Genomic DNA, 27,733 nt, shown 5'->3' on the forward strand with positions numbered 1-27,733 from the left:
ATGATCTCAGCTCACCACAGCCTCCGCCTCCCGGGTTCAAGCCATTCTCCTGCCTCAGCCTCCCGAGTAGCTGGGATTACAGTCATGCGCCACCATGTCCGGCTAATTCTGAATTTTTAGTAGAGACAGGGTTTCTCCATATTGGTCAAGCTGGTCTCTAACTCCCGACTTTAGGTGATCCACCTGCCTCGGCCTCCCAAAGTGTTGGGATTATAGGCGTAAGCCACTGCGCCCAGTCTGTATGGGTCAACTCTTAAACTGGAGCCAAGAGAAAGAATTTTTTAAAAAGTCCCTCTTCTCAGATAGTTGTCAGACTAATGGCAAAGGATGGAAGATAGCAGACATGGGGTAAGGCAAATGTTTTAAGCAGTCAAAATTAATGTTGGGGTAAAAAAGGTGAAGGAGAAGGAATAAGTGAAAATGTTTTCTGTTGTGTGTTATTAGCATAAAAGGAGTAAGCATCGAAAGCTGGAAACAAATATGAGTTAGAACCATGGCTAGGACCCTTCTTTCTACCATTGTACAGGGCTCCTCTCAGCCACTACCAGCAGTCCTCCACCCAGAGGTATCCCTGATCTTGTAGAAAGGACCAGGCCCCAAATGATCTAGTTTACCAACCTTTTGCTTAACTGCTTCAATAGGCAGATGTCAAAATTGCTTAACTTATTCAACAGGTGGTGGTGTGTATGTATTATGCATGTAGTGCTCTGATAGGCACAGCAGGTAGGAGAGAGCAAAGAAGACAGTTGATCTGCCCTCTAGAGTCTAATTGTAGAAAAAGAACACATATTTTCACAAAACAAAAGAAGGCTTACAACGGCCTGAGGAGGCAGAACAGGAACACCCTGTACTCGTGCAAATGCCCCTGGATGCTCCCAGAGCTGAGTGGGAGTGGGACGAGAATGGGGATCAGTGCTGTGAGAATGTATCTGCTTTGTCCCAGTTCTTCATCCTGCTGCTGATTATCCTCCTTGCTGAGGTGACCTTGGCCATCCTGCTCTTTGTATATGAACAGAAGGTAAGTTATAAAGACAACAACTTATTGTCTTAATACTGAAAGTGGGGAGTATGCAGTGGAGAAGTTGGTACAAAGTTACAGAATAAGTTCTATAATAGAGATAGAAATGAAGTGGAAGGATAGAGGAAACAGAGAGTAATTGTAATTGGGGGGAAAATTTGTATGAAAGAGATTGTATCTGAGTGGTATCTTGAGGGGTGCCTGGAAAGAGCAGTAAAACAAGTGTCTCTTCCTCTACTTGCTTTCCTCTGTGTGTTTGGCAGGAGAGAATGTCTGCCTCAGTGCCTAAGGATAGCCCTTGCTTTAATTGCTCCTTTTCCTCCCTTGTAAAGCCAGAGCTCTAGAAGGAAGCAAGCCTACTAAATACTTCTTCCTTCAATGCCACCTCATGCTCAGCCTGTATGCCCATAGATAAACACCCTCCCCTCACCCTTAGTTCTGAGGAGACCATTTGGAAGGGAAGCGCAAGTGGAACCACTAACCTATACTGGAAATTCCTTATTCCTTGAACTCACCTGCTTTTTACCATGTCTCCTCTGCTGGAATGTGCCTGCCCAGCTGAATGAGTATGTGGCTAAGGGTCTGACCGACAGCATCCACCGTTACCACTCAGACAATAGCACCAAGGCAGCGTGGGACTCCATCCAGTCATTTGTGAGTACAGGTGGAATCCTCTTCAGATCAGCCCAGACTTCATTTTCAAGCCTAAATCCTTGGGGGCTAGTTCCTTTTTCTGGAAGTTTCAGAATCTAAGGTCCACATCCCTGAATCCCAGAATAATGCCTTGGCTATCACAAACATGGGAGCCCAGTAATTAGTCTGATTAGTACAAAGTTCTCTACATTCTCTCTTTCATCCTTTTCTAACATGAATAGGTTTATTTTCTAAGTTCTGCTAGGATGTGAAGAAGACCCAAACACAGCAAACTGGATTAGTTTATGTATTTTCCAAAATTTTACTGAAAACAGCATTGTATAACACAAGAAATTGCCATTGAGTTCCCGAGTTGCCCAAATCAGGCTTGTTACCTAGCCCACCAACATCCCATTCCTCATGTGCTGTTTCCACCCACAAACGTGTATATGTACAGCATATACAAGCTCTGCATTCCTGACATGATGTGTTGGGAGATAAAGATGGAGCCTTGCACCAGTATAATCTATTTGTGTCTCGAAACAGTACCACTATGAAAGCACGCTGGCTTAGTGTGGAGTAGAAGAAATGGCACAGGAATTAGAGCCTGGAGACCAGAATTGGGTAGCCCTGGGGAAGTCACTTAACTTATTTAGATCTCCAATTCTTTATTTTTTTAATTCAGTTTAGAAAACTTTTTATTACATAATTTTTAGAAATATACAAAAGAGAAAAACAGAAAAATGAATCTCCCAACTCTTCAATAGTTAACATTTTCCAGTGTCATCTCATCTAATTCCCCACACTTTTTTCGTTAGAATATGTTAAAGCAAATACTAGACAATATATTATTTCACCCACTAAATATAAAAGAACTTCTTTTTAATACACCTAAAATTTTATAATTTCTTAATACCACTAATAAAGTCTATAATTAAATTTCCCTAATTTTCTCAAAAAATTTTAATTGACTTGTTCAAATCAAGATCTTAACAAGGCCTATGTGTTTATATTTGAATGATAGGTCTCTCTATTTATCTTTTAATCTATAATAGTACACCTCTTTGTTCTTGCTCTTTGTGGAAAGAAATTAGGCTATTTGTCCTTTAGACTTCTCCACTCTCTAGATCAGGCTAGTTGCTTCCTCGAGTATTTTGGTATCAGGGAGTCTCTGTCTCCCATAAGCCCCATGAACTTAAAAGTTTGATGTGGTTTTTGTTTTGTGGTAAGACTGCCATAGCTGTCACTTCCTGTTGCATCGTGTAAGCAGGTACATAATGTCTGATGGTCCTCCTTTCTGTGATCTTAAGATTGGTTGGTGGGTCCAGGGGTGGTCAGCCTAATCCCTCCATTATGCAGTCCCTGGGTGCCTTATTCTTGATCTGTAAAATGTGACTAGATTAAGCACAGGGGTCTCTACTCCACAGGGATCTTATGTGAATGAAATGGTATAACAGATTAGAAAGCACTTTGTTTTAAGGAGCCCATAGCAATCAGACCAATTCTGGACTTCTGCTATAGAGTCAGATCTGAAGGGCACACCTTTTCCTCTAAGGTCCACAGCTTTTTTTCACTGTTGACTTTCTAACCATCATCATTTTGGGGGTTTGGCTTTTAGCTGCAGTGTTGTGGTATAAATGGCACGAGTGATTGGACCAGTGGCCCACCAGCATCTTGCCCCTCAGATCGAAAAGTGGAGGTAATTTTGTCGGCAATGTTTCTGTTATTGACCTCTTTGTTTAAATGTTTAATTACCTCGGAAACTGCAGTCATAGAGGACCTAGACCTTCTATTGAGAAACAGGGGACCTTGAATAAAAGAGAGGCCAGGGCAACAACCTTGGGTAATTAGAAAAGTCAGAAAAACATACAAACAAACTCATTTAGACTAGAGACACTGTGATTGATCTTGCTACACTAGACTATTACATTAGAGGGGAACAGTTACTTTTGTGTGAAAGTAGGAGAGGGTTGTGTCTAGATATTTCTTAAGCAAGAAGTAGGTCTCCTTATGGTTAAAGTGAAATGTATAGGGTTGAGATAGAAAAGTTTCTCCCTCTCCCTCTTTCTCTGCTCTTCTTCCTTGGAGATGGCAGAATCCAGCCCCTTAGGGAAATGAATCATAGGTGAAGGAGTAAGGAGTTGAGGGAGACAGAGTTAGTGGAACTACTGAAACAACCTGTCCAATTAATTTGGACCTCCAGAATAGGCTCTGAGAAGAAGCCACAACTATCTTCCAACTAGACCGAATCCCTGAGGTCTTGTCTCCTCATGTTATCTGCTCCTGAAGGGGTTTGGAAATCTCCAGGGTTTTTCAGGTTTGTGGAGAAAGACTAGGACAACCACTGACCAGCAACTGCCCTGGCACTTGGTAGGGCTATGATGGATTTACTGAATGTTGAAGCAGAAAGTGAAATGCAAACCAATTTTAGTATTGCATGCCCTATGTTAATCTCTGGTCAGCACTGAGTGTTCAAAGACAGTAGGACGTCGGTTGCTGACCTGCCTCTTAGAAGCTAGTTTAACTCAGCGGGTAAGGATCTAGGACTTCTACATTAGTTACCACTGTAATGATAACACCACCAGAAAAGTCTGTAGTTTAATATTTCCCACCTTATGCCTGTTTCTTCATTCACGCAAAGAAAATAAAAATATAATACCTAAGCCTCTTTGTATTACATAAAGCAAAATGCAAAGCACTGTATCTTCCAAATACTTCCTCTTGATATGGTGGAATTATAGAGTAGTATCATTTGTAACTGAAATGTCTTCTAGGGTTGCTATGCGAAAGCAAGACTGTGGTTTCATTCCAATTTCCTGTATATCGGAATCATCACCATCTGTGTATGTGTGATTGAGGTAAGAGCTTAACCACAGGGTTATTGTGAGGATTACATGAGTTAAGTCAGGTAAGATTTCAGAATAATACCAGGTACACAGTATTTACACAATAAATGTTAGCTATTTTTACTAATATATGAATTCCCCCAGCCAAGTAGCAAATAATGTAATTAACAATTTGCTTTAAGGTATATAGAAAATGTGCTATAAGAACATCTCTTGGCCGGGCGTGGTGGCTCACGCCTGTAATCCCAGCACTTTGGGAGGCTGAGGCAGGCAGATCACGAGGTCAGGAGATCAAGACCATCCTGGCTAACATGGTGAAACCCCGTCTCTACTAAAAATACAAAAAATTAACCAGACGTAGTGGCAGGTGCCTGTAGTCCCAGCTACTTGGGAGGCTAAGGTAGGAGAATGGCGTGAACCTGGGAGGCGGAGCTTGTAGTGAGTCAAGATCGTGCCACTGCACTCCTGCCTGGGCGACAGAGCGAGACTCTGTCTCCAGAAAAAAAAAAAAAAAAAGAACATCTCTCTGGTCAATTCATTCCTCAGAGATATGAGTGATTCACATGATTCACAGTCAAACAAAAAAGCCACCAAGCAGAATCCCACTGTGATCCCTCCTCAGCTGGTCTGAAAAATACGAATTGATAAAGTATTTCATTTGAAAACCTGATCTTGCATGTTAAGGGGCTGATGACGAAAATTGTAATCAATTTCCTCTTTGTTTCTGTGCTTAGTTTGACAAGTGATGGGTGAATTGAGGGTAGTTTTTTGTCCTTTTTAATAAAAAAGGACAAAAATAATGTGATATTTCTAACATTTTTCTACCCAAAGTGTTGGGTATATCATAGATTAGTTAAAACTCAATCAGGAAGCTCAGAGAAAATGATTTTTCTCTGTTTGGAAACAAAGGAGGCACAGAGCATGGATAGAGATAACTCATTGCACAGTGTTCAGTGAGCAGAATATGACCATCCTAGCAGCAAGGCTTCTGTGACTTCCTCAGAAGATAAAACATGCTCCAGTACTTTACAGCCTGTTATCTTGTCATCATTGACCCCGTTTCTCTCCTCACTGCTATTCTTTAACCAAAGGAAAGAGCTCCTGAGAGAGACTTGAAAGTAATGGTTGGAAGGGTGGTTTCAGTGTAATGGATACATTCTTTTTCTCAGAGGCCAATCCCAGGCATTGTGAAAGAAATGGCTTTTCTTATGAAGACTTCAAATTTTCCCAACTCTTTTCACAGGTGTTGGGGATGTCCTTTGCACTGACCCTGAACTGCCAGATTGACAAAACCAGCCAGACCATAGGGCTATGATCTGCAGTAGTCCTGTGGTGAAGAGACTTGTTTCATCTCCGGAAATGCAAAACCATTTATAGCATGAAGCCCTACATGATCACTGCAGGATGATCCTCCTCCCATCCTTTCCCTTTTTAGGTCCCTGTCTTATACAACCAGAGAAGTGGGTGTTGGCCAGGCACATCCCATCTCAGGCAGCAAGACAATCTTTCACTCACTGACGGCAGCAGCCATGTCTCTCAAAGTGGTGAAACTAATATCTGAGCATCTTTTAGACAAGAGAGGCAAAGACAAACTGGATTTAATGGCCCAACATCAAAGGGTGAACCCAGGATATGAATTTTTGCATCTTCCCATTGTCGAATTAGTCTCCAGCCTCTAAATAATGCCCAGTCTTCTCCCCAAAGTCAAGCAAGAGACTAGTTGAAGGGAGTTCTGGGGCCAGGCTCACTGGACCATTGTCACAACCCTCTGTTTCTCTTTGACTAAGTGCCCTGGCTACAGGAATTACACAGTTCTCTTTCTCCAAAGGGCAAGATCTCATTTCAATTTCTTTATTAGAGGGCCTTATTGATGTGTTCTAAGTCTTTCCAGAAAAAAACTATCCAGTGATTTATATCCTGATTTCAACCAGTCACTTAGCTGATAATCACAGTAAGAAGACTTCTGGTATTATCTCTCTATCAGATAAGATTTTGTTAATGTACTATTTTACTCTTCAATAAATAAAAGTTTATTATCTCAATCACAACATTGCTATATATCAAACACTCCTTCCATGACCCAGCCTGATTACCCTGATTAATGCACCAAACCAGGTGTATTAATTGTCTCCTGCTGCATAAAATATTACTCCAAAATTTAGTGGCTGAGGACAACAAACATTTATTATCTCATGGTTTTTGTGGGTCAGGAATCTAGGAGCAGCTTAGCTGGGTGATTCTGGTTCACAGTCTCTCATGTAACTGCAATCAACATGTCAGCCTGGGCTGCAGTAACCTTAAGGCTCAACTGAAAGAGGATCTACTTTCAGGCTCTCTCACATCGCTGTTGGCAAGCCTCAGATCTTTGCCACTTGTGCCTTTCCACGGGGCTTCCTTATGACATGGAAGCTGGCTTCCCCCCATTTAAAGACATCCAAGAAAGGGCATGAGATTCGGCACCCAAAACAGAAGCCACAGTTTGTTGTTTTTGTTGTTGTTGTTTTGAGATGGAGACTTGCTTTGTCACATAGGCTGGAGTGCAGTGGCACAATCTCGGCTCACTGCAACCTCTGCCTCCCAAGTTCAAGCGATTCTCCTGCTTCAGCCTCCTGACTGGGACCACAGGTGTGTGCCACCATGCCTGACTAATTTTTTTGTGTGTTTTTAGTAGAGATGGGGTTTCACCATGTTGGCCAGGCTGGTCTTGAACTCCTGACCTCTGGTGATCCACCTGCTTCAGCCTCCCAAAGTGCTGGGATTACAGGCATGAGCCACGCCACAGTTTTTATTTATAACCCCAGATGTGCCACCACATCAGTTCTGCCATACACTGTTTTAAAAAAGTGAGTTGAATTGTTCAGCTCACACTCAAAAAAAAAAAAAAACAAAAAAAAAAGGAGATTATAGACAAGGGTATAAATCTGTAGCACATAGAGATCACTGGAGGTCATCTAAGAGGTTGCCAACCCCACCATATTTGTTTGGTCAAAAAAAGAAGCTAAATTGAATTGTCTATAAGCTAAATTTAATTATCTACGTATAACCACACTTTGTAAGGCAGAAAATAAGACCATATCTAATAGGGAGCCAAATGTAGAGAAGTCAGAGAAAGGAATAGAGAAAAACTGGTTTCTGTTCCTGAAGTTTTATGTATCATCTCCCCTCTCCTTTTAAAAAAATTAGTATTTCAGTGGTAGTCTGTAGAAAAACCTACAACTTTTGCATTTTCCTGAGACAAAGAAGTAGCAGAGGAGACATTCTCTCTCTCTGTTTTTTTTTGTTTGTTTTTTGTTTTTGTTTGTTTGTTTTTTTCTGAGACAGTTTTTTGCTCTTGTTGCCCAGGCTGGAGTACAGTGGTGCAATCTTGGCTCACTGCAACCTCCACCTCCTGGGTTCAAGTGATTCTCCTGCCTCAGCCTCCTAAGTAGCTGAGATTACAAGCACACGCCACCACGCCTGGCTAATTTTTGTATTTTTAGTAGAGATGGGGTTTCAGCATTTTGGTCAGGCTGGTCCCGAACTCCTGACCTTGTGATCTGCCCACCTTGGCTTCCCAAAGTGCTGGGATTACAGGTGTGAGCCACCTCGCACCCGGCCTTTTTTTTTTTTTTTTTTTAGACGGAGTCTCACTCTGTGGCCAGGCTGGAGTGCAGAGGCCTGATCTTGGCTCACTGTAACCTCTGCCTCCCTAGTTCAAGCAATCTCCTGCCTCAGCCTCCTGAGTAGCTGGGATTACAGGTGCACACCACCAAGCCTGGCTAATCTTTGTATTTTTACTAGAGACAGGGTTTCACTATGTTGGCCAGGATGGTCTCAAGCTCCTGACCTTAGATGATCCACCTGCCTTGGCCTCCCAAAGTGCTGGGATTATAGGCGTGAGGCACCGTCCCCGGTGAGACATTCTCTTGAGTATCACAAGTTTCAAAAGTATCTCACATTAAACATGCACAAAATGAAACTTATCATTCTATCTTCCAAATCTGCTTCTCTTCTTTGTTCCCCATATGAGTGAGTGATAACATCACCCACCTAGTTTTCCTAGCCAGAAGCCTAGGCTTTGTCTTTAACTCTAGCCTGTCCTTTACTCCCAAAAACAAGTCACAGTCAGTCATGAAGCTCTGAGGATTCACCCACCAAGTATCACCAAATTCATTAATTCTCCCTATTTCATTAACTTGCCTGTATTCCTTCAATAGTCTACTATCTGCTCTTCTAGTATTCACCATTGGCCCTTATCTACACCATTCTGCATATAGCAGCCAAAGTAATATTTCTAAAACATAAATGTAATAATGACACTTTTATGCTTGAAACTCTTCAATGACTCTGTTCTTAGGATAAAGTCTAGATTTTTTATTTATTATAGCTGTCAAGCCCTACATGAGATGGCTCACTCTTAGCTCTCCAGCCTTCCTCTTGCCATTCTCATTTTGTTTTACTCACCAAAATAATACAGCACATAGTGCATCTTAAAAGAAGCATGCTTAGATTTACCTTTTAAATGGGTATATGTAAACCTTTCATAATAAGGCTTTGTGGAACAAAGGCAAGAAACATCCCTTAACAGCATGCTAACACTTGCTTACAGTGATCAAATCGAACTAAATCAATCACTAAAAAAAAAAAAAAAAAAAAAAAAAGAAATACAGACAGAAAGGAAGAAAGAAGAAAGAAAGAATTCTAAAGAATAAATTTCAGGCATTAAAAACAGTGATCTCGGAACGTCTGAAATACAAGAAGGATCAAAGAGAAGATGTAAATATGTGGAAAATATAAATGACCACTGATTTCATAAAAGTTATAACAATGTGTTCCTTGAATTATAAACAAAAGATAGAAGGTATAGCGAGATGGTGGAATAGAATACCAGTTTCCCCTCCCCATCCAAGGACACCAATTTAACAACTGTCTAACACAAAAAACCACCTTCGTATGAACCAAAAATTAGGTGAGTCCTCATAGGACCTGCTGTTAAGTTGGTATCACTGAAAGTCATGCTGGAGAGGTGAGTAAAACAGTTTTGAATCTCTAATGCCACCCCTGGCAGCAGCAGCATGATGCGGAGAGTGTCTCTGGGTGCCGGGGGAGGGAGAACACAGCAATTGTGTGGCACTGAACTCAGTACCATCCCGTTAGAGCAGAAAGGAAACTGGACCAAACTCTGCTGGTGCCTGCCCATGGAGGGAGCATTTAAATCAGCCCTAACCAGAGGGAAATCGCCAATTCCAATTGTCAAAACTTGAATTCCTGCAAACCTCATCACCAACAGCTACAGTGCTATGTGTTTCTAAGTAAACTTGGAAGGCAGTCTAGGCCATAAGGATTGCAAATCTTAGGTAAGTCCTAGCATTGAACCAGGCCCAGAGACAGTGGACTGGGAGGGGCATGTGACCTACTAAGACACCAGCTGGGGTGGCTAAGAGAGTGCTGGCATCACCCTTCCCCTAACCCCAGGCTGCACAGCTCACAGCTTCGAAAGAGACACCTTCCTTCTGCTTAAGGAGAGGGGAGGGAAGAGAGAGGAGGACTTGTTTTGCATCTTGGATACCAGGTCAGCCACAGCAGATAGGACACCGGTCAGAGTTGTAAGGTCCCTGTTTCAGGCCCTAGCTCTTGGATAGCATTTCTAGACAACCTCTGGGCCAGAAGGGAATCCATTGCCTTGAAGGGAAGAACCCAGTCCTGGCAACATTCATCACCTGCTAAGTGAAAAGCCCCTAGGCTCTGAATAACCAGCAGTGAAACCAAGTTACTATGTCCAGGGCTTTGGGTGACCCTCTGAGACTTGCTTGTTTCAGATGAGATTCAGCACATGGCTAGCTGTGGTGGCTATTGGCTGAAACTCCTTCTACTTGAGAAAAGCGGAGGGAAAAGTAAAGGAGACTTTGTCTTGCACCTTAAGTACCAGCATGGGCACAGGGGAATAGAGCACCAAGTAGGCTCCTGAGGTCCCTGATTCCAGGACTCAACTCTTGAACGGCATCTCTGGACCTGCCCTGGGCCAGAAGGGAGCCCACTGCCCTGAAGGGTGAGTCCCAAGACAGGCAGCATTCACCACAAGCTGACTTATGAGTACTTGGACCTTAAAGGAACATTAGCAGTAGTCTGGCAGTACTCCCTATGGCTTGTGGTGGTAGTGGCTACAGGGTGAGGCTCCTCTCCTTTGGAAAGGGGAGGGAAGAGTGGGGAAAACTGAGTCTTATGGTTTGAATGCCAGCTCAGCCACAGTACAATAGAATATCAGCTAGAGTTCTAAGGTTTTCCACTCTAGTCCCTGACTCCCAGACAGCACCTCTGGAACCACCCAGGGTCTAGAGGGACTTGGCACTCTGAAGAGAAGGACGCAGGCCTGGTTGGCTTTGCCATCTGTGATTGTAGAGCCCCAGGGCATTAAGTGAACATAGGCAGTAGTCAGGGAGTGGTTACAGCAGGCCTTGGGCAAGACTCAGTGCTGTGCTGGCTTGAGGTATGACCCAGCACAGTCATAGTGGTGGTCATAGAGTGACACAGGCGTGCTTGTGTCACTCCATCCCCAGGTTTAGATGGCTCAGAACAGAAAGAGAGAGAGAATCCCTTAGTTTAGGAGAAAGTGAGGGAAGAGAACAAGATTCTCTGCCTGGTAATCCAGGGAATTCTCCCCAATTTTATCCAAGACCATCAAAGTAGTACTTCTATGAGTCCATAAGAACCACAGTATTACTGAGCTCGAGGTGCCCCTAAAGCAGATACAGCTTAGATTACAACACTCAAGTCCTTTTGAATATCTGAAAAGCCTTCCCAAAAAGGACAAGTACAAACAAGCCCAGACAGTGAAGACAACAATAAATACCTAACTCTTCTATGCTCGGACACTAAAGGACATCTATTAGAATCAACACCATCCAGGAAAACATGACCTCACCAAAAAAACTAAAGAAGGCAGCAGGGGCCAATCCTGGGGAAACAGAGATATGCAAGCTTTCAGACAGAATTCAAAATAACTGTTTTCAGGAAACACAAATTCAGGGTAACACAGAGAAGGAATTAGGAATTCTATCAGATAAATTTAATGAAGAGATTAAAATAATTAAAAAGAATCAAATTCTGGAGCTGAAAAATGCAATTGGCATATTAAAGAATGCTTCAGAATCTTTTAGTAGCAGAACTGATCAGGAAGAAGAAAGAATTAGTGAGCTTGAAGACAGGCTATTTGAAAATACAGTCAGAGGAGATTTAAAAAAAGAATAAAAAACAAGGAAGCATGTCTGCAGGATCTAGAAAATAACCTCAGAAGGGCAAATTTAAGAGTTATTGGCCTTAAAGAGGAGGTAGAGAAAGAGATAGAAGTAGAAAGTTTATTCAAGGGGATAATATCAGAGAATTCCCCAAACCTAGAGAAAGATATCAATAACCAAGTATAAGAAGGTTATAGAGCACCAAGCTGACTTAATCCAAAGAAGACTACCTCAAGGCATTTAATAAGCAGACTCCCAAAGATCAAGGACAAAGAAAGGACTCCAAAAGCAGCAAGAGAAAAGAAACAAATAACATACAATGGAGCTCCAATACATCTGGTAGCAGACTTCTCGGTGGAAACCTTACAGGCCGAGAGAGTGGCATGACATATTTAAAGTGCTGAAGGAGAAAAACCTACCCTAGAATAGTATAACCAGCAAAAATATCCTTCAAAAATGAAGGCAAAATAAAGACTTTCCCAGACAAACAAAAGCTGAGGGATTTCATCAACACCAGTTCTGTCCTACAAGAAATGCTAAAGGGAGTACTTCAAACAGAAAGAAAGGGATGTTAATGAGCAATAAGTAATCATATGAAGATACAAAGCTCACTGGTAATAGTAAGTACACAAAAAGACAGAGAATATTATAACACTGTAACTGTGGTGTATAAACTACTCTTATCCTAAGTAGGAAGACTAAATAATAAATCAAAAATAATAACTACAATAACTTTTAAGACATAGACAGTACAATAAGATATAAGTAAAAACAACAAAAAGTTAAAGAGCAGAAGGATGAAGTTAAGGCATAGAGGTTTTATTAGTTTTCTTTTTGCTTTTTTTAAATGCAGAGAGTGTTAAGTTGTTATCAGGTTAAAATAATGGGATATAAGATAGTATTTGCAAGTCTCATGCAAAAACATATGATGGATGCACAAGGAATAAAAAGCAAGAAACTAAATCATATCATCAGAGAAAAATCTTCACTAAAGGAAGACAAGAAAGAAAGAAGGAAGAGAAGACCACAAAACAACTAGATAAAATGTAAACATTTACAGATAAACTGTAAGAATTAATAAGAGATTTTGGCAATGTTATTGGGTATAAAATCAATATACTAAAGCCAACTGTATTTCTACTTACCAGAAACATAAAATAAAAAAGAGACAACAGACATGGTGGCTCATGCCTATAATGCCAGCACTTTGAGAGGTTGAAGCAGAGGATTGCTTGAGGCCAGGCATTTGAAACCAGCCTAGTCAACATAGCGAGACCCCATATCTACCAAAGAAAAATTAAAAGCCAAACGTGGTGGCTCATGCCTGTAGTCCCAGCTCTTCAGGAAGGTGAGGCAGGAAGATCACTTGAGCCCAGAAGTTCAAGGCTGCAGTGAGCCACGATTATACCACTGCACTCCAGCCTGGGTGACAGGGTGAGATCCTGTCTCAAAAGAGAGACAGAGAACATTTATGATCGCATCAAAAAAATAAATAAATAAACCTGAAAAAGATGTACAAGACCTTTACACAGAAAATATTCTAATTTGATTGGAATTCTAAAGAAGAGAGCTATATCCTGAAGATGTATACCCACAGGAAACTATCATACTCACTAATAGGAAGACTCAATATTTTATATATGTCCATTCTTTCCAAATTGGGCTATAGATTCAATGCAGTCTCAAAAAAAAATCCCAACAAACTTTTTTAATGGAACTTGAACAAGCTGATTCTAAAATTTACATGTAAATACAAAAGGTCAAAACAACTGGGATGCTCTTGAAGAAAAAACACCAAGTTGGAGAACTTACTTTAAAAATATTGATACATATTTTAAGGTTATTACAATAGTATGGAAATTATAATAGTTTATGTTGTTTCAGGGACAGGTTAAACAGACCAGTAGAATATATTAGAGTTCTTAAAGAGGCCCCATGCTGAGAAGTACAAAAGAACTCTCAGCATATAACAACTCAGTCCAAACCCCTGCACTAAGAGACCTGACCATACTCTAGCATGGCTTCTAGCAGCCTAAGGTCGTGTCTTGAAAAATAGCCAAATCCCCCTTTTGAGCTTTAAGAAAGCTCAAAAATGATGGGATAATTTCCTGTTTGTTCCAGCCAAAACCTGGTGATACGTAAGTAGATCCCTGAACCTCCTCTTAAAACATTGACTTTAGAAGGCTTGCAATTATATATTTTTTGCTACCCTTTGAGATGTAAATGTTCTACCAGAATTTTCTTCTCAGAGATTTTAGAAATGCAAACATTAAGGTAGATAACTTACTGTCAGTCTCTGTGGGAGGATAAGGACTTAATTTTGGTGGGCATCTTGCTCCAACTTCCACCACTGCCTCCTGTGATTAAGATTTGAGCCAGGCGCGGTGGCTCACGCCTGTAATCCCAGCACTTTGGGAGGCCGAGGTCAGGAGTTCAAGACCAGCCTGGCCAAGATGGTGAAACCCCCTCTCCACTAAAAATACAAAAAAAATTAGCTGGGCTTGGTGGTACACACCTGTAATTCCAGCTACTCAGGAGGCTGAAGCAGAGAATTGCTTGAATCCGGGATGCAGAGGTTGCAGTGAGCCGAGATTGCACCACGGCACTCCAGCCTGGGTGACAGAGTGAAACTCCATCTCACACACACAAAAAAAGTTTTGAGAAGTTTTTTTCTTTTCCAGTTAAGTGCCAGTTAGTAAACCCAGATGGCCCACTCACACACACCAACCCACTTTAACATCCTTCAGCACCTTACCATTAGCATACTCTAGATGTTAAAAAATCTCTTGCCTTTTGTTTCAACAGAGTTGAACTAAGATGACATGTGGTTCTCTCCCCTATTGCAATAGTTATTACTGAATACAATTTGCCTTTACTGCTTTAACTAGTGCCCAACTTGTTTATATTTCAAAATGCTAATATGTTTGATTTATATCACGGTGACCTTTCAGAGAGATGATAAAAGAAGGGTCTTTTCAACAAATGTTCCTGGGAAAACAGAAATTCTATATAAAAAGAACAAGTTTTGATTCCTATCTCACATCACAGCAATTCGTAAATCAATTTCAAGTGAATTAAATATTTAGATGTAAAAGACAAATATAGAAAGCTTTGGGGAGTCTGGGCATGATGGTGAAGAATATAAAAGCAAAAAGCCCCATTCAAAAGACAATAACTTTAAAGATTAAAGGAACATCAGCCTACACAGGTGAGAAAGTGCGAGTGCAATAACTCCAGCAACTCTGAAAGCAAGAGTGTCTTCATACCTCCAAATGATCACACTAGCTCCCCAGCCATGGTTCTCAACCAGACTGAAATGACTGAAATAACATAGAATTCAGAATCTCAATGTCAAGGAAGCTCATTGAGATACAGAAGGTTGAAACTCAATCCACAGAAAACAGTAAAATGGTTCAAGAGTTGAGAGAGGACATATTCATTTTAAGAGAGAACCAAACTGAACTTCTGAAATGAAAAATTAGCACAGGAACTTCATAATGTAATTGGAAGCATTAATATCAGAATAGACCAAGCTAAGGAAAGAATCTCAGAACTCAAAGACCATTCTTTTGAATCAATACAAGCAGATAAAAATAAAAAAAAATAATTTTAAGAAAATGAACAAAACCTCTAAGAAATATGGAATTATGTAAAAGAGACCAAACTCATTGGATTCTTGAAAGAGATTGAGAGAGAGCAAGTAACTTTGGAAACATATTTAAGGATATTGTCCACGAAAATTTTCCCAACATCTCTAGAGACGTCAACGCACAAGTTCAGGAAATTCAGAGAACCCCTGTAAGATATTATGCAAGATGACCATCCCCAAGCCACATTGTCATCAGATTCCCCAAAGTCAATGTGAAAGAAAAAATCTTAAAGGCAGCTAGAGAGAAGGGGCAGGTCATGTACAAGGGCTAACAGTGGACCTCTTAGCAGAAACCTTACAGGCCAGAAAAGGTTGGGGGCCTATATTAAGCATCATTAAAGAAAAAAAAATCCAATCAAGAACTTCGTATCTAGCCAAACTAAGCTTCATAAGCAAATGAGAAATAAAATCCATTTCAGGCAAGCAAATGTTAAGAAAATTTGTTACCACCAGACCTGCCTTACAAGAGGTCCTTAAGGGAGGGCTAAACATGGAAATGAAAGCCTAATACCTGTCACCACAAAAACACACTTAAATACATAGAGCTTACTGCCATTATAAAGGAACTATACAATCAAGTCTACATAACAACCAGCCAACAACATAATGGCAGAATAAAATTCTCACATATTAATATTAACTTTGAATGTAAATGGGCTAAACACCCCACTTAAAAGGCACAGAGTGGCAAGTTGAATAAAGAAGCAAGACCCAACTCTATACTGTCCTCAAGAGAGTCATCTCACATGCAATGACACATATAGGCTCAAAGTAAAGGGATGGAGAAAGATCTATCAAGCAAACAGAAAACAAAAAAGGGCAGGGGTAGCTTTTTTTTTTTTTTTTTTTTTTTTGAGACGGAGTTTCGCTCTTGTTGCCCAGGCTGGAGTGCAGTGGCGCGATCTCGGCTTACCGCAACCTCTGCCTCCCGAGTTCCAGTGATTCTTCTGCCTCAGTCTCCCAAGTAGCTGGGATTACAGGCATGCATCACCACACCTGGCTAATTTTTGTATTTTTAATAGTGACGGGGTTTCTCCATGTTGGTCAGGCTGGTCTCGAACTCCTGACCTCAGGTGATCCACCCACCTCTGCCTCCCAAAGTGCTGGGATTACAGGTGTGAGCCACTGCGCCCAGCTGGGGTAGCTATTCTTATATCAGACAAAACAGACTTTAAACCAACAACAATCAAAAAGGACATTATATAATGATAAAGGGTTCAATTCAACAAGAAGACTTAACTATCCTAAATATACATGCACCCAATATTGGAGCATCTAGATTCATTAAGCACGCTCTTAGAGACCTACCAAGAGACTTAGATAACCACACAATATTAGTGGGAGACTTCAGCACTCCACTGACAGTTTCACAGATCATCAACGCAGAAAACTAAGAGAGATATCTAGAATCTAAACTTGACACTTGAAAAAAACAGACCTAACAGACATCGACAGAATGCTCCACCTGAAAACAGAATATTCATTCTTCTCATCTACACATGGCACATATTCTGAGATCAACCACACATTCGGTCTTAAAGCAATTCTCAAAAAAAAAAAAAAAAAATCCCTGGGGCGGACACAGTGGCTCACGCATGTAATCCCAGCACTTTGGGAGGCTGAGGTGGGTGGATCACCTGAGGTCAGGAGTTCAAGACCAGGCTGGCCAACATGGTGAAACCCCGTCTCTACTAAAAATACAAAACAATTAGCTGGGCATGGCAGCACAGGCTTGTAATCCCAGCTACTTGGGAGGCTGAGGCAGGAGAATCGCTTGAATCCAGGAGGCAGAGGTTGGAGTGAGCTGAGATCGTGCCATTGCACTCCAGCCTGGGCAACAGAGTGAGACTCTGTCTCAAAAAAATCAAAACAAAACAAAACAAACCTGAAAATCATACCAACCATGCTCTCTAAGACCACAGTGCAATAAAAATAGAAATAAATACCAAGACGATTTCTCAAAACCACATAATTACATGAAAATTAAACAACCTGCTCCTGATGACTTTTGGGGTAAAGAATCAAATTAAGGCAAAAATTGAAAAAGTTCTTTGAAATGAATGAAAACAAAAATACAACATACCAGAATATCTGGGACACAGCTAAAGTAGTGTTAAGGAGAAATTTTATAGTGTTAAATATCTACATCAAGATGTTAGAAAGGTCTCAAATTAACAGCCTAAGATCACACCTAGAGAAACTGAAAAATAAGAACAAACCAACTCCAAAACTAGCAAAAGGAAAGCAATAACCAAAATCAGAGCTGAGGTAAATGAAATTGAGATGTGAAAATTCACACAAAATATCAATGAAGGCAAGAGTTGGTCCACCAAAAGAATAAACAGGAACAGTAGCTCACTATAGATTAATAAATGAGAATAAGAAGATACAAATAAACACAATAAGAAATGATAAAGTTTATGCTACCCTCAACCCCCCAGGGAAAAAAAAAACCTGGAGACTATTATGAACAGTTCTATGCACACAAACTGGAAAACCTAGAAGAAATGGATGAATTCTTAGAAGCATACAACCTCCCAAGACTGAAGTAGGAAGAAACTGAAATCCTGAACAGATCAATTAATGAGTTTCAAAATTTAATGAGTTATTTTTTTAAAATCCCTATCAACCAGAAAAAGCCCTGGACCAGAAAGATTCACAGCTGAATTCTTCCAGATATGTAAAGAAGAGGTGGTACCAATTCTACTAAAATTACTCAAAAATATTGAGGAGGAGGGGCTTTTTCCTAACTCATTCTACAAGGCCAGCATCATTCTCATACTAAAACCTGGCAAAGATAAAAAGAAAAAAGAAAACTTAAGGCCAATATACCTGATGAACACAAACACAAAATCCTCAACAAAATACGAGCAAATTGAATCCAGCAGCAAATCAAAAAGGTAATCTACCAAACAATCAAGTGGGCTTTATCCCTGGGATAAAAGGTTTGCTTCAACATATACGAATCAGTAAATGTGATTCGTCGCATAAACAGAACTAAAAACAAAAACCACATGATCATCTCAAGAAATGCAGAAAAGGCTTTTGATAAAAATTAACACCCCTTCATATTAAAAGCCCTCAAAAAACTAGCCAATGAGGGAATGTACCTTAAAATATTAAGAGCTATCTATGACAAACCCACAGCCAATATCATACTAATGGGCAAAAACTGGAAGCATTCCCCTTGAGAACCAGCACAAGACAAGGATGCCCACTCTTACCACTCCTATTCAGCATAGTACTGGAATTCCATCCAGAGCAATCAGGCAAGAGAAAGAAATAAAAGACACCCAACTGGAAAAGAACAAGTCAAACTATCTCTCTTCATAGACAATATAATTCTATACCTAGAAAAATTCATAGTCTCTGCCCAAAGGCTCCTAGAATTGGTAAACAAGTAAAGTTTTAGGATACAAAACCAATGTAAAAAAATCAGTAGCATTTCTTTTTTTTCTTTCTTTCCTTTACTTATTTATTTTTTTTTAGACCGAGTCTGGCTCTATCGCCCAGACTGGAGTGCAGTGGCATGATCTTGGCTCACTGCATCCTCCACCTACTGGGTTCAAGCGATTCTCATGCTTCAGCCTCCCAAGTAGTTGGGATTACAGGCATGCACCACCACATGTGGCTACTTTTTGTATTTTTAGTAGAGATGGGGTTTCACCATGTTGGCCAAGCTGGTCTAAAACTCCTGACCTCAGGTAATCCACTTGCCTCAGCCTCCTGAAGGGCTGGGATTACAGGTGTGAGCCACTGCACCCAGCCAGTAGCATTTCAATACCCCAATGATGTCCAAGCTGAGAGCCAAATCAGGAATGTAATCCCATTCATGATAGCCACAATAATAATAAAATATGTAGGAATTCAGCTAACCACGGAGGTGAAAGATTTCTACAAAAAGAATTACAAAACACTGCTGAAAGAAATCAGAGACCACACAAACCAATGCAAAAAACATTCCATGCTCATAGATAGGAACAATCAATATTGTTAAAATGGCCATACTGCCCAAAGCAATTTGTAGATTAGTGCTATTTCTATCAAACTACCAATGTCATTTTTTACAGAATTAGAAAATACTATTCTAAAATTCACATGGGTCTAGAAAAGAGCCCAAATAGTCAAAGCAATCATAAGCAAAAAGAACAAAGCTGGAGGCACCACACAATCTGACTTAAAACTATACTGCAACACTATAGTAATCAAAACAGTATGGTACTGGTACAAACACAGACACACAGACTAATGGAACAGAATAGAGAATCCAGAAATAAAGCAACACATCTACAACCATCTGATGTTTGACAATAACAAGCAATGGGGAAAGGACTCCCTATTAAACAAATGGTGCTGGAATAACTGGCTAGCCATATACACAAGACTGAAACTGGACCTCTTTCTTTCACCATATACAATAATCAAATCAAGATAAATTAAAGACTTAAATGTGAGACGTAAAACTATAATTAAAACCCTAGAAGAAAATCTGGGACATACCATTCTAGACATAGGTCTTGGCAAAGATTTCATGATAAAGTGCCCAGAAGCAACTGAAACAAAACCAAAAATAGACAATTGGGACCTAATTAAACTAAAGTACCTGTGCACAGCAAGAGAAACGATCAATCTACAGAATGAGAGAAAACATTTGCAAACTATACATCTGACAAAATTTATTATTCAGAATTTATAAGGAACTTAAATTAACAAGGAGAAAACAACCCCATTAAAAATGGACAAAGTATATGGTCAGACACTTCTCAAAAGAAGGCATACATGTGGCCAACAACCATATGAAAAATGCTCAACATCACTTATCATTAGAGAAATGCAAATCAAAAAAGATACCATCTCACGCCAGTCAGAATGGCTATTACTAAAACGTCAAAAAACAACAGATGTTGGTGAAGTTGTAGAGAAAAGGGAACACTTAGACACTGCTGGTGAGAATGTACATTAGTTTAGCCACTGTGGAAAGCAGTTTACAGACTTCTCAAAATACTTAACACAGAAGTACCATTCGACCCAGCAATCCTATTACTGGGTATATACCCAAAATAATATAAATTGTTCTACCAAAAAGACACACACACTTGTATGTTCATTGCAGCACTATTCACAATAGCAAAGACATGGAATCAACCTGGATGCCCATCAACAGTGGACTAGATAAAGAAAATGTGGTACTTATACACTATGGAATACAACACAACCATAAAAAAGAACAAAATTATGTCCTTTGCAGCGACATGGATGCTTCTGGAGTCCATTATCCTAAGCAGACTTGCTTAGGATAATGCAGAAACAGAAAACAAAATATTGCATGTTCTCACTTCTTTTATGGGAGCTAATCATTAAGTACACATGGACACAGAGAGGAACAACAGACACCGTGGTTACTTGAGGGTGAAGGGTTACTTGAAGGAAGGTGAGGATCAAAAAAATGCCTAGTGAGTACTATGCTCACTCCCTGGGTGACAAAATTGTTTGTACATCAAACCCCAGCAACACACAATTTACCCATGTAACAAACCTGCGCATGTATCCCCTGAACCTAAAATAAAAGTTGAGAAAGAAAAAAAGGGACAACTCCTACAAATAAATGAGAAAAAGACAGATAATCCAAAAGGAAAAGTGGCAAAAGGCATGAAGAATCAATTCAAAGAAGAGGAAATCTAAACAGCTAATAAATATGTAAAACTGATTAAACTCATCAGCCACTGGGATAATGCAAACAAAAACCACAATAAAATACTGATTAGATTGGGAGGCTAAGGTGGGTGGATCATCTGAGGTCAGGAGCTTGAGACCAGCCTGACCAACGTGGTGAAACCCCGTCTCTACAAAAATCGTAAAATTAGCTGGGTGTGGTGGCAGGCACCTGTAATCCCAGTTACTCAGGAGGCTGAGGCAGGAGAATCACTTGAACCCAGGAGGCAGAGGTTGCAGTGAGTCGAGATCACACCATTGCACTCCAGCCTGGGTGACACAGCCAGAATCCGTCTCTAAAAAAATACTGATCAGATTAGAAAAATAATTAAAAGATCAGATATATAAATAATACAGATCTTACCAAGGATATGGAGCCTCAGGAAACCTGATTAACTGCTGGTGGAAATGTTTCATGGTACAACAATGTTTCACCACAGTATGTCATTACATAGTAGAATTGAAGATATGACCCAACAATTCCATTCCTAAGTATATACTCAACATAAATGCATGTTTATGTGCACCAAAAGAAAGTATAAGAATGTCAGTAGCAGCATTATTTTTAACTACCCGTGACTAGAAATCATCCACATTATCATAAACTTACAATGGGCAAATAAATTATGGTACAGCCACGTAAGGAATTATAGTACATAGTAAAAATAAGCTACAAATATTTCTAACAACATAGATGAATCCTACAAATAAAATATTAAACAATAAAAAGGCTATAAAATAAATTTACGGCCGGGCGCGGTGGCTCAAGCCTGTAATCCCAGCACTTTGGGAGGCCGAGGCGGGCGGATCACGAGGTCAGGAGATCGAGACCATCCTGGCTAACACGGTGAAACCCCATCTCTACTAAATATAGAAAAAAACATTAGCCGGGCGCGGTGGCAGGCGCCTGTAGTCCCAGCTATTCGGGAGGCTGAGGCAGGAGAATGGGGTGAACCCGGGAGGCGGAGTTTGCAGTGAGCCGAGATAGCGCCAATGCACTCCAGCCTGGGCGACAGAGCGAGACTCCGTCTCAAAAAATAAATAAATAAATAAATAAATAAATTTACTTACTATGTTCAAAAATGTACAAAACCGTATTATTTAGGGATACCCTCACCAACAGCAAAAGCACAAAGTAAAGGAAGAAAGTCACTATCATAAAGTCAGAACAGTGACTATCCATGGAGGAGGAGAACAAGTGGTGATTGTGAAGGAATATGCAGGAAACTCTTGGGATGCCAGTAATGTTTCATTCTTGATCCGGGTGTTATACACAAGGCCAGTGTTTCTTTTATCACTACTTGTTCAAATGCTATTTATGTCTTATTCATTTTTTAGATATTATGTCACACAAGGGTAAAAAATTTAAAAAATAATAAAAGCTGTGAGAACAAAAAGACAAATTAACTTTTAAAAAGCAACAGATTGTCAACTGTCTTCTCAACAGCTAGTAGTAGATGCCTGACTGACAACAGCACATCTTTGATGACTGTTGCCTATCTTCGATGTGGTAGGAGAAAATAAATGTCAATGTAACATTTTACACGTGGTGGAAAATATCTTTTAGCATGTATGTGAAATGTAGACCTTCAAAAAAACAAAAACTGAATGTGTTTATCAAGAGCAGGTAAAGGAATTTCCTTTACTCACTAAAAGAAATTCTAAAATATGTACTTTAGGCAGAAAGTGATCCCAGATGAAAAGTCTGAAACCAGAAAAAAATGAAGAGCCTGGTAAAATGATAAATATATAAATAATCTAAATATATTTTGACTTTATAAACAACAATAATAATATCTTGCAAAGTTAAGAGTATTGTAGACACAGGAAAGGTGGCAAATGAAGTTAAAGTGCTTAAATGTAATTTTATTGCTGGAAAGAAGATGAACATATTGATTAATTTTAGACTTGTAGGGTCGAATAACACATTACATCAACTAATATTAAATATGTGTGGTTACATGAACTAATCAGTAAATGCAGAGAAACAACATATAAAACTCAAAAATGATAAAAAGTAAAACCTAATTCGGTCAAAGTAATATAAAATGATACCAAAAAAGAAATATTGAAAAGATTGGAAAATAGAAAGCAATAAAAATAAGAAGAGTCAACACTAACATCTTAGTAATTATAAGTAATGTAAATATTCTAAATGTACAAATAAAAAAGACAAAACTTGCCCCAAACTGTCTGTTTAAAAAATAAATTCCAATATATGCTCTTTATAAGAGATACTCTAAAACATAAAGATACTGAAATTGAAAGTGAATAGTTGGAAAAATATGTCTTGCAGGCACTAACCAAATAAAAGCCAATGAAGCTGTATTAGATAGACCTCAAGGCAAACAGCATTTATAGAAATAAAGAGGGTCACTTTATAATGAGAAAACTGTCAACTCATAAGGAAAAAAATAAAACTTCAAATTTGTAAACTCCTGCTGTGACTTTGTCCAACTTGTCTAAACTAAATTATGTTTCCTGCTTAGGGTGTGCCACAAGACATATTTTCACATGAGATTTGGAGGATGATAGTGAAACTGCAGTCATGTTTTTTACACTAGCGAGTTCAGGGCAGAGTCACCATATTTGCTGACTCACCTTGTGGGTGTGGGCAGCAGCCAGTCTAGCAATTGTTTCCCCTTCTCCTGGATCCTCCTTCAGGTTCTCCTACTCCTGAGCCAGAGTTATGTTTAGCATCAGGACAAAGTTTCTCCTGCAGGACACCTACATTATCCATTATTGGAGCAGTGAGAACTGACAGGGGCTCGTGTGTCCTCATAGATTCCAACTTACATTAGTTGGTTCCTACTTGTTGCCACTCTCTCCCAATTTACATCCATCTTTCCTTCCCAATTGCTTACCCTGCAGACTTCCAGCTCTAACATCAGACAGGAAGACAATGTCTTTTCAGAGATTGTTTAACCAGCTCCCAAAATTGTGTAAGTAAAATTTATGTAACAAGTTATGTGTGTATTTGTATATTCAAGTGCATGTGAAACATCTGCAGAAACTGACCACAATTAGGGGCATAGGGTAATTTGTACCACAATCTCTGTCTTCAACTCATTTATTTAAAATATTTACTCAAAGTTTATGATATGCCAGGAATTTGGGTGCTTGACATATATCAATGCACATAACAAAAATCCCTGCCCTTAAGGAGCTTATTTTTTTTGTTTTTTTGTTTTTGTTTTTTTTTTTTGGAGAGAGGTCAACATAAAAAAATAGCTGTAGTAAACAGTTAAACTGTATAGTATGTTATAAAGTTATATGTGCTATGGAAAAAAATTAGATCAGCTAAGGGGTGATATAGGTAAGGGACTGGGATTAGTTTGAGATCTATAACTTGCAAAGAACAATATGAGAGAGGAAAATTATAGCACCATCTTATTCATAACATACAAATCCTAAACAAAATCCTAACAGAATTTGTTCAGCAACATATAAATGGTGTTTTATGCTCAAATAATTTTGTCTCAGAAATTAAAAACATTAGTTTTAAAATCATTAAATGTGATTTAATTCATTGATAGATTAAATATGTAAGATTATCTTAATATATCAAAATGCACTGAATGAAATTTAAAATTAAAAACTTTTAACAAAATTACTTTAAAAATTGACTTTCTTAAATTTATAAAAGGTATCTAAAAACACCTACCTCCCCTCCACTACACAAACATAAATACACACACATACAAAACCAAAAGAAATCCTAAACTCTGCAACAAACACCTTGCTTAATGATGAGGTGCCGAACATTCCCTTTGAGACTGATGTCAAGATAAGATTGTGTGCTGTCACTAATACTCAGCACTGTCCTGAAGATCAGGACTGTGTAGTAAGACAGGAACAAAAAATAAGAATGGAAAGGGAGAAATAATATTGTTATTACTCATAGATGATAATGATTTTATTTTATAGTCAATCCATTATTACTAATAGACAAAACATTTAAAAATGTATCATAGTTGATAAAGATATATCAAATCCAAAGATTAATTAAACGTTATGTATAAATGACAAAGAATTATAAAATGAAAGAAAAAAACTCAGGAGATTTAGTTTTCTGATAATTGTGATGAGGTTATTTGGATATACTATCTCACTGAAAATAATAGAAATGAGGGATAAAATATTTGTAAAATCACCTTAGAAGAATGGACAACTTGAAGAGACAGTGAGAAAACTCCAAGGCCAATTTTATGAGAAAGATAGGCAAAACATCAGCACCCAAAAATGTATTGAGCATTTAGAGACCTCACACACTTGGGCTTTGGTTCAGAGTCTTCATGGTACAGAAGTCAGAGGAAGAACTTCCCCAGGCAAGGAGTCTTACAGGAGATCTTCTCCACACATTACACTGGACACTAAAGAACTACACACTCAGATTAAGAGCCAACCAGAAGAAAAACCACTCCCTCCACCCAGTTGGAAGGAGTTTCTCTGCCAGCAAACAGAGCATAATATTTAGGGAATATAAAACTGGACATAAGAAGTGGGGGCCACGGCCTGGCCCTCCAGTTTACACCTGAGTTAGACATAGCTTAGGTCAGCCAAAAAATTGCTGGCTATACATTTACTTTGAGGTGGTTTCTTATGAGTGGTACCTACAAGTACCTGACAAAGTAAATGGCACAACAGAGTGAAACTAGAAAACCAAAGTCAATGAGAAAAATCCTTAAAACATCTGTGATGGTTAATACTGAGTGTCAACTTGATTGGATTGAAGGATGCAAAGTATTGTTCCTGGGTGTGTCTGTGAGGGTGTTGCCAAAGGAGATTAACACTTGAGTCACTGGGCTGGGGAAGGCAGACCCACCTTTAATCTGGTGGGCACAATCTAATCAGCTGCCAGCGAATATAAAGCTGGCAGAAAAACTCGAAAAGGTGTGACTGGCCTAGTCTTCCAGCCTGCATCTTTCTCCTGTGCTGGATGCTTCCTGCCCTCAAACATCGGACTCCTAGTTCTTCAGTTTTGAAGTTTGGACTCTCTTGCTCCTCAAGCTTGCAGACAGCCTATTGTGGGAACTTGTGATCGTGTAAGTTAATACTTATTAAACTCCCCTTTATATCTATCTATCTATCCTATTAGTTCCGTCCCTCTAGGGAACCCTAACTAATACAACCTCCAAACAAAAAAAAGATTATCTTCCAAAAAGTGGTAAATTGGCTAAACTTTTCTGGAGGCTAAAATCAGTAGTATGATAACTTCAAAGCTAAAGAAAAATAACTGCCAAATTAGAATTCTATGCTCAATGAAAATGTCTTTCAAAATGAAAATAATAAAAAGAGAATTAGAAGGCAAGCCACAGACTAGGAGAAAATATTTGCAGGCACATCTGACAAAGGGTCGTTATCCAAAATAACCCAAGAACTCTTAAAACTGAACAATAAGAAAATGAGCCACCTAATTAAAACTTAGGCAAAAGATCTGAACAGGCATCTCATCAAAGAAGATATACAGATGACAAATAAACATATAAAAAGATGTTCAACATCATATGTCATTAGGAAATTGCAAACTAAGACAATGAGATATAATACATATCCAATAGAATGGCCCAAATCCAAAATGCAGACACCATCAAATGCTTGGAGGATGTGAAACAACCAGAAGTCTCTCATTCACTAGTGGCTGGTGGTAATAAAAAAGTACACCCACTTTGGAATATAGTCTTGCAAAACTGAGCATGCTCTTACCGCATGATCCAGCAATCATGCTCTCTTTGGTGTTTACCCAAAAGAATTGAAAACCTATGTTCATACAGAAACCTGCATATAGATGTTTATAACAACTTTATTAATAATTGCCAAAACTTGAGAGCAACTAAGACATACTTCAGTAGATGAATGGACAAACTGTGGTACATCCAGACAATAGAATATTATTCAATGCTAAAAAAAATTACCAAGCTACAAAAAGACATGAAGGAACCCTAAATGCATATTACTAAGTGAAATAAGCCAATGTGAAGGCTACCTAATGTATGATTCCAGCTATGAGACATTCTGGAAAAGGCAAAACAATGGTGACAATAAAAGGATCAGTAGTTACCAGGGGTTAAGTGGGGAGGGAGAAATAAATAGGCAGAGCACAGAGGATTTTTTATGGCAGTGAGATTATTTCTTATAATACTACAATGGTAGATACGTGTCATTATAACATTTGTCAAAACCCATAGAACGTACAACACCAAAAGTGAATCTTAAACTCTGGACTTTGGGGTGATAACGATGTGTTAGTGCAAATTCATTGATTGTAACAAATACACCACTATGATGGGGGCTGTCGATAGTGGAAGAAGCGGTACATGCGGTGGGGAAAAGGCATATATAGAAAATTCGTACTTTCCACTCCGTTTTGCTGTGAACCTAAAACTGCTCTAATAAATAAAGTGTATTAATTTAAAAGGTTGAAGTGAAATAAAAACAATTTGAGACAAGTGGGAGAATTTACGACCAGCAAAATCTAGTTAGGAGAAATTCTAAAAGATATACTTCAGGCAAAGGGAAAGTGGTCCTAGGGAGAATGTCTAAGATGCAAGAATAAATGAAGAGAGGGAAAAAAGTGGGCAAGTACAAATGAACATGACTTTCCAAAACCAGAATCATGTTTATGAAGTTTAAAATATACTTAAAAGGTCTACTCAAATTC

The 27,733-nt window shown here is 39.2% G+C and overlaps 2 protein-coding genes across 7 annotated transcripts in view; one reads left to right on the forward strand and one right to left on the reverse strand.

The window, feature by feature from the left end:
- Nucleotides 1-6,539, forward strand: part of CD53 (CD53 molecule) — a 28,713-nt gene extending 22,174 nt beyond the window's left edge. For 2 of the 6 annotated variants that reach the window (NM_001040033.2, NM_000560.4), the window contains 5 exons: nt 944-1,018; nt 1,577-1,672; nt 3,270-3,350; nt 4,426-4,509; nt 5,741-6,539. In NM_001040033.2, the coding sequence (NP_001035122.1) occupies nt 944-1,018; nt 1,577-1,672; nt 3,270-3,350; nt 4,426-4,509; nt 5,741-5,812 (408 nt within the window). In that variant the 3' untranslated portion in view covers nt 5,813-6,539. The remainder of the gene's footprint in view (nt 1-943; nt 1,019-1,576; nt 1,673-3,269; nt 3,351-4,425; nt 4,510-5,740) is intronic. The other 4 variants (XM_047435014.1, XM_047435013.1, NM_001320638.2 and 1 more) reach the window with 4 other exon arrangements.
- LRIF1 (ligand dependent nuclear receptor interacting factor 1) overlaps nt 1-27,733 on the reverse strand; it is an 88,966-nt gene that overhangs the window by 18,427 nt on the left and 42,806 nt on the right. The gene's annotated exons all lie outside the window — the stretch shown is intronic.

Source organism: Homo sapiens, chromosome 1 (genome assembly GCF_000001405.40).
Source record: "Homo sapiens chromosome 1, GRCh38.p14 Primary Assembly".
In the NCBI taxonomy this organism is placed as follows: domain Eukaryota; kingdom Metazoa; phylum Chordata; class Mammalia; order Primates; family Hominidae; genus Homo; species Homo sapiens.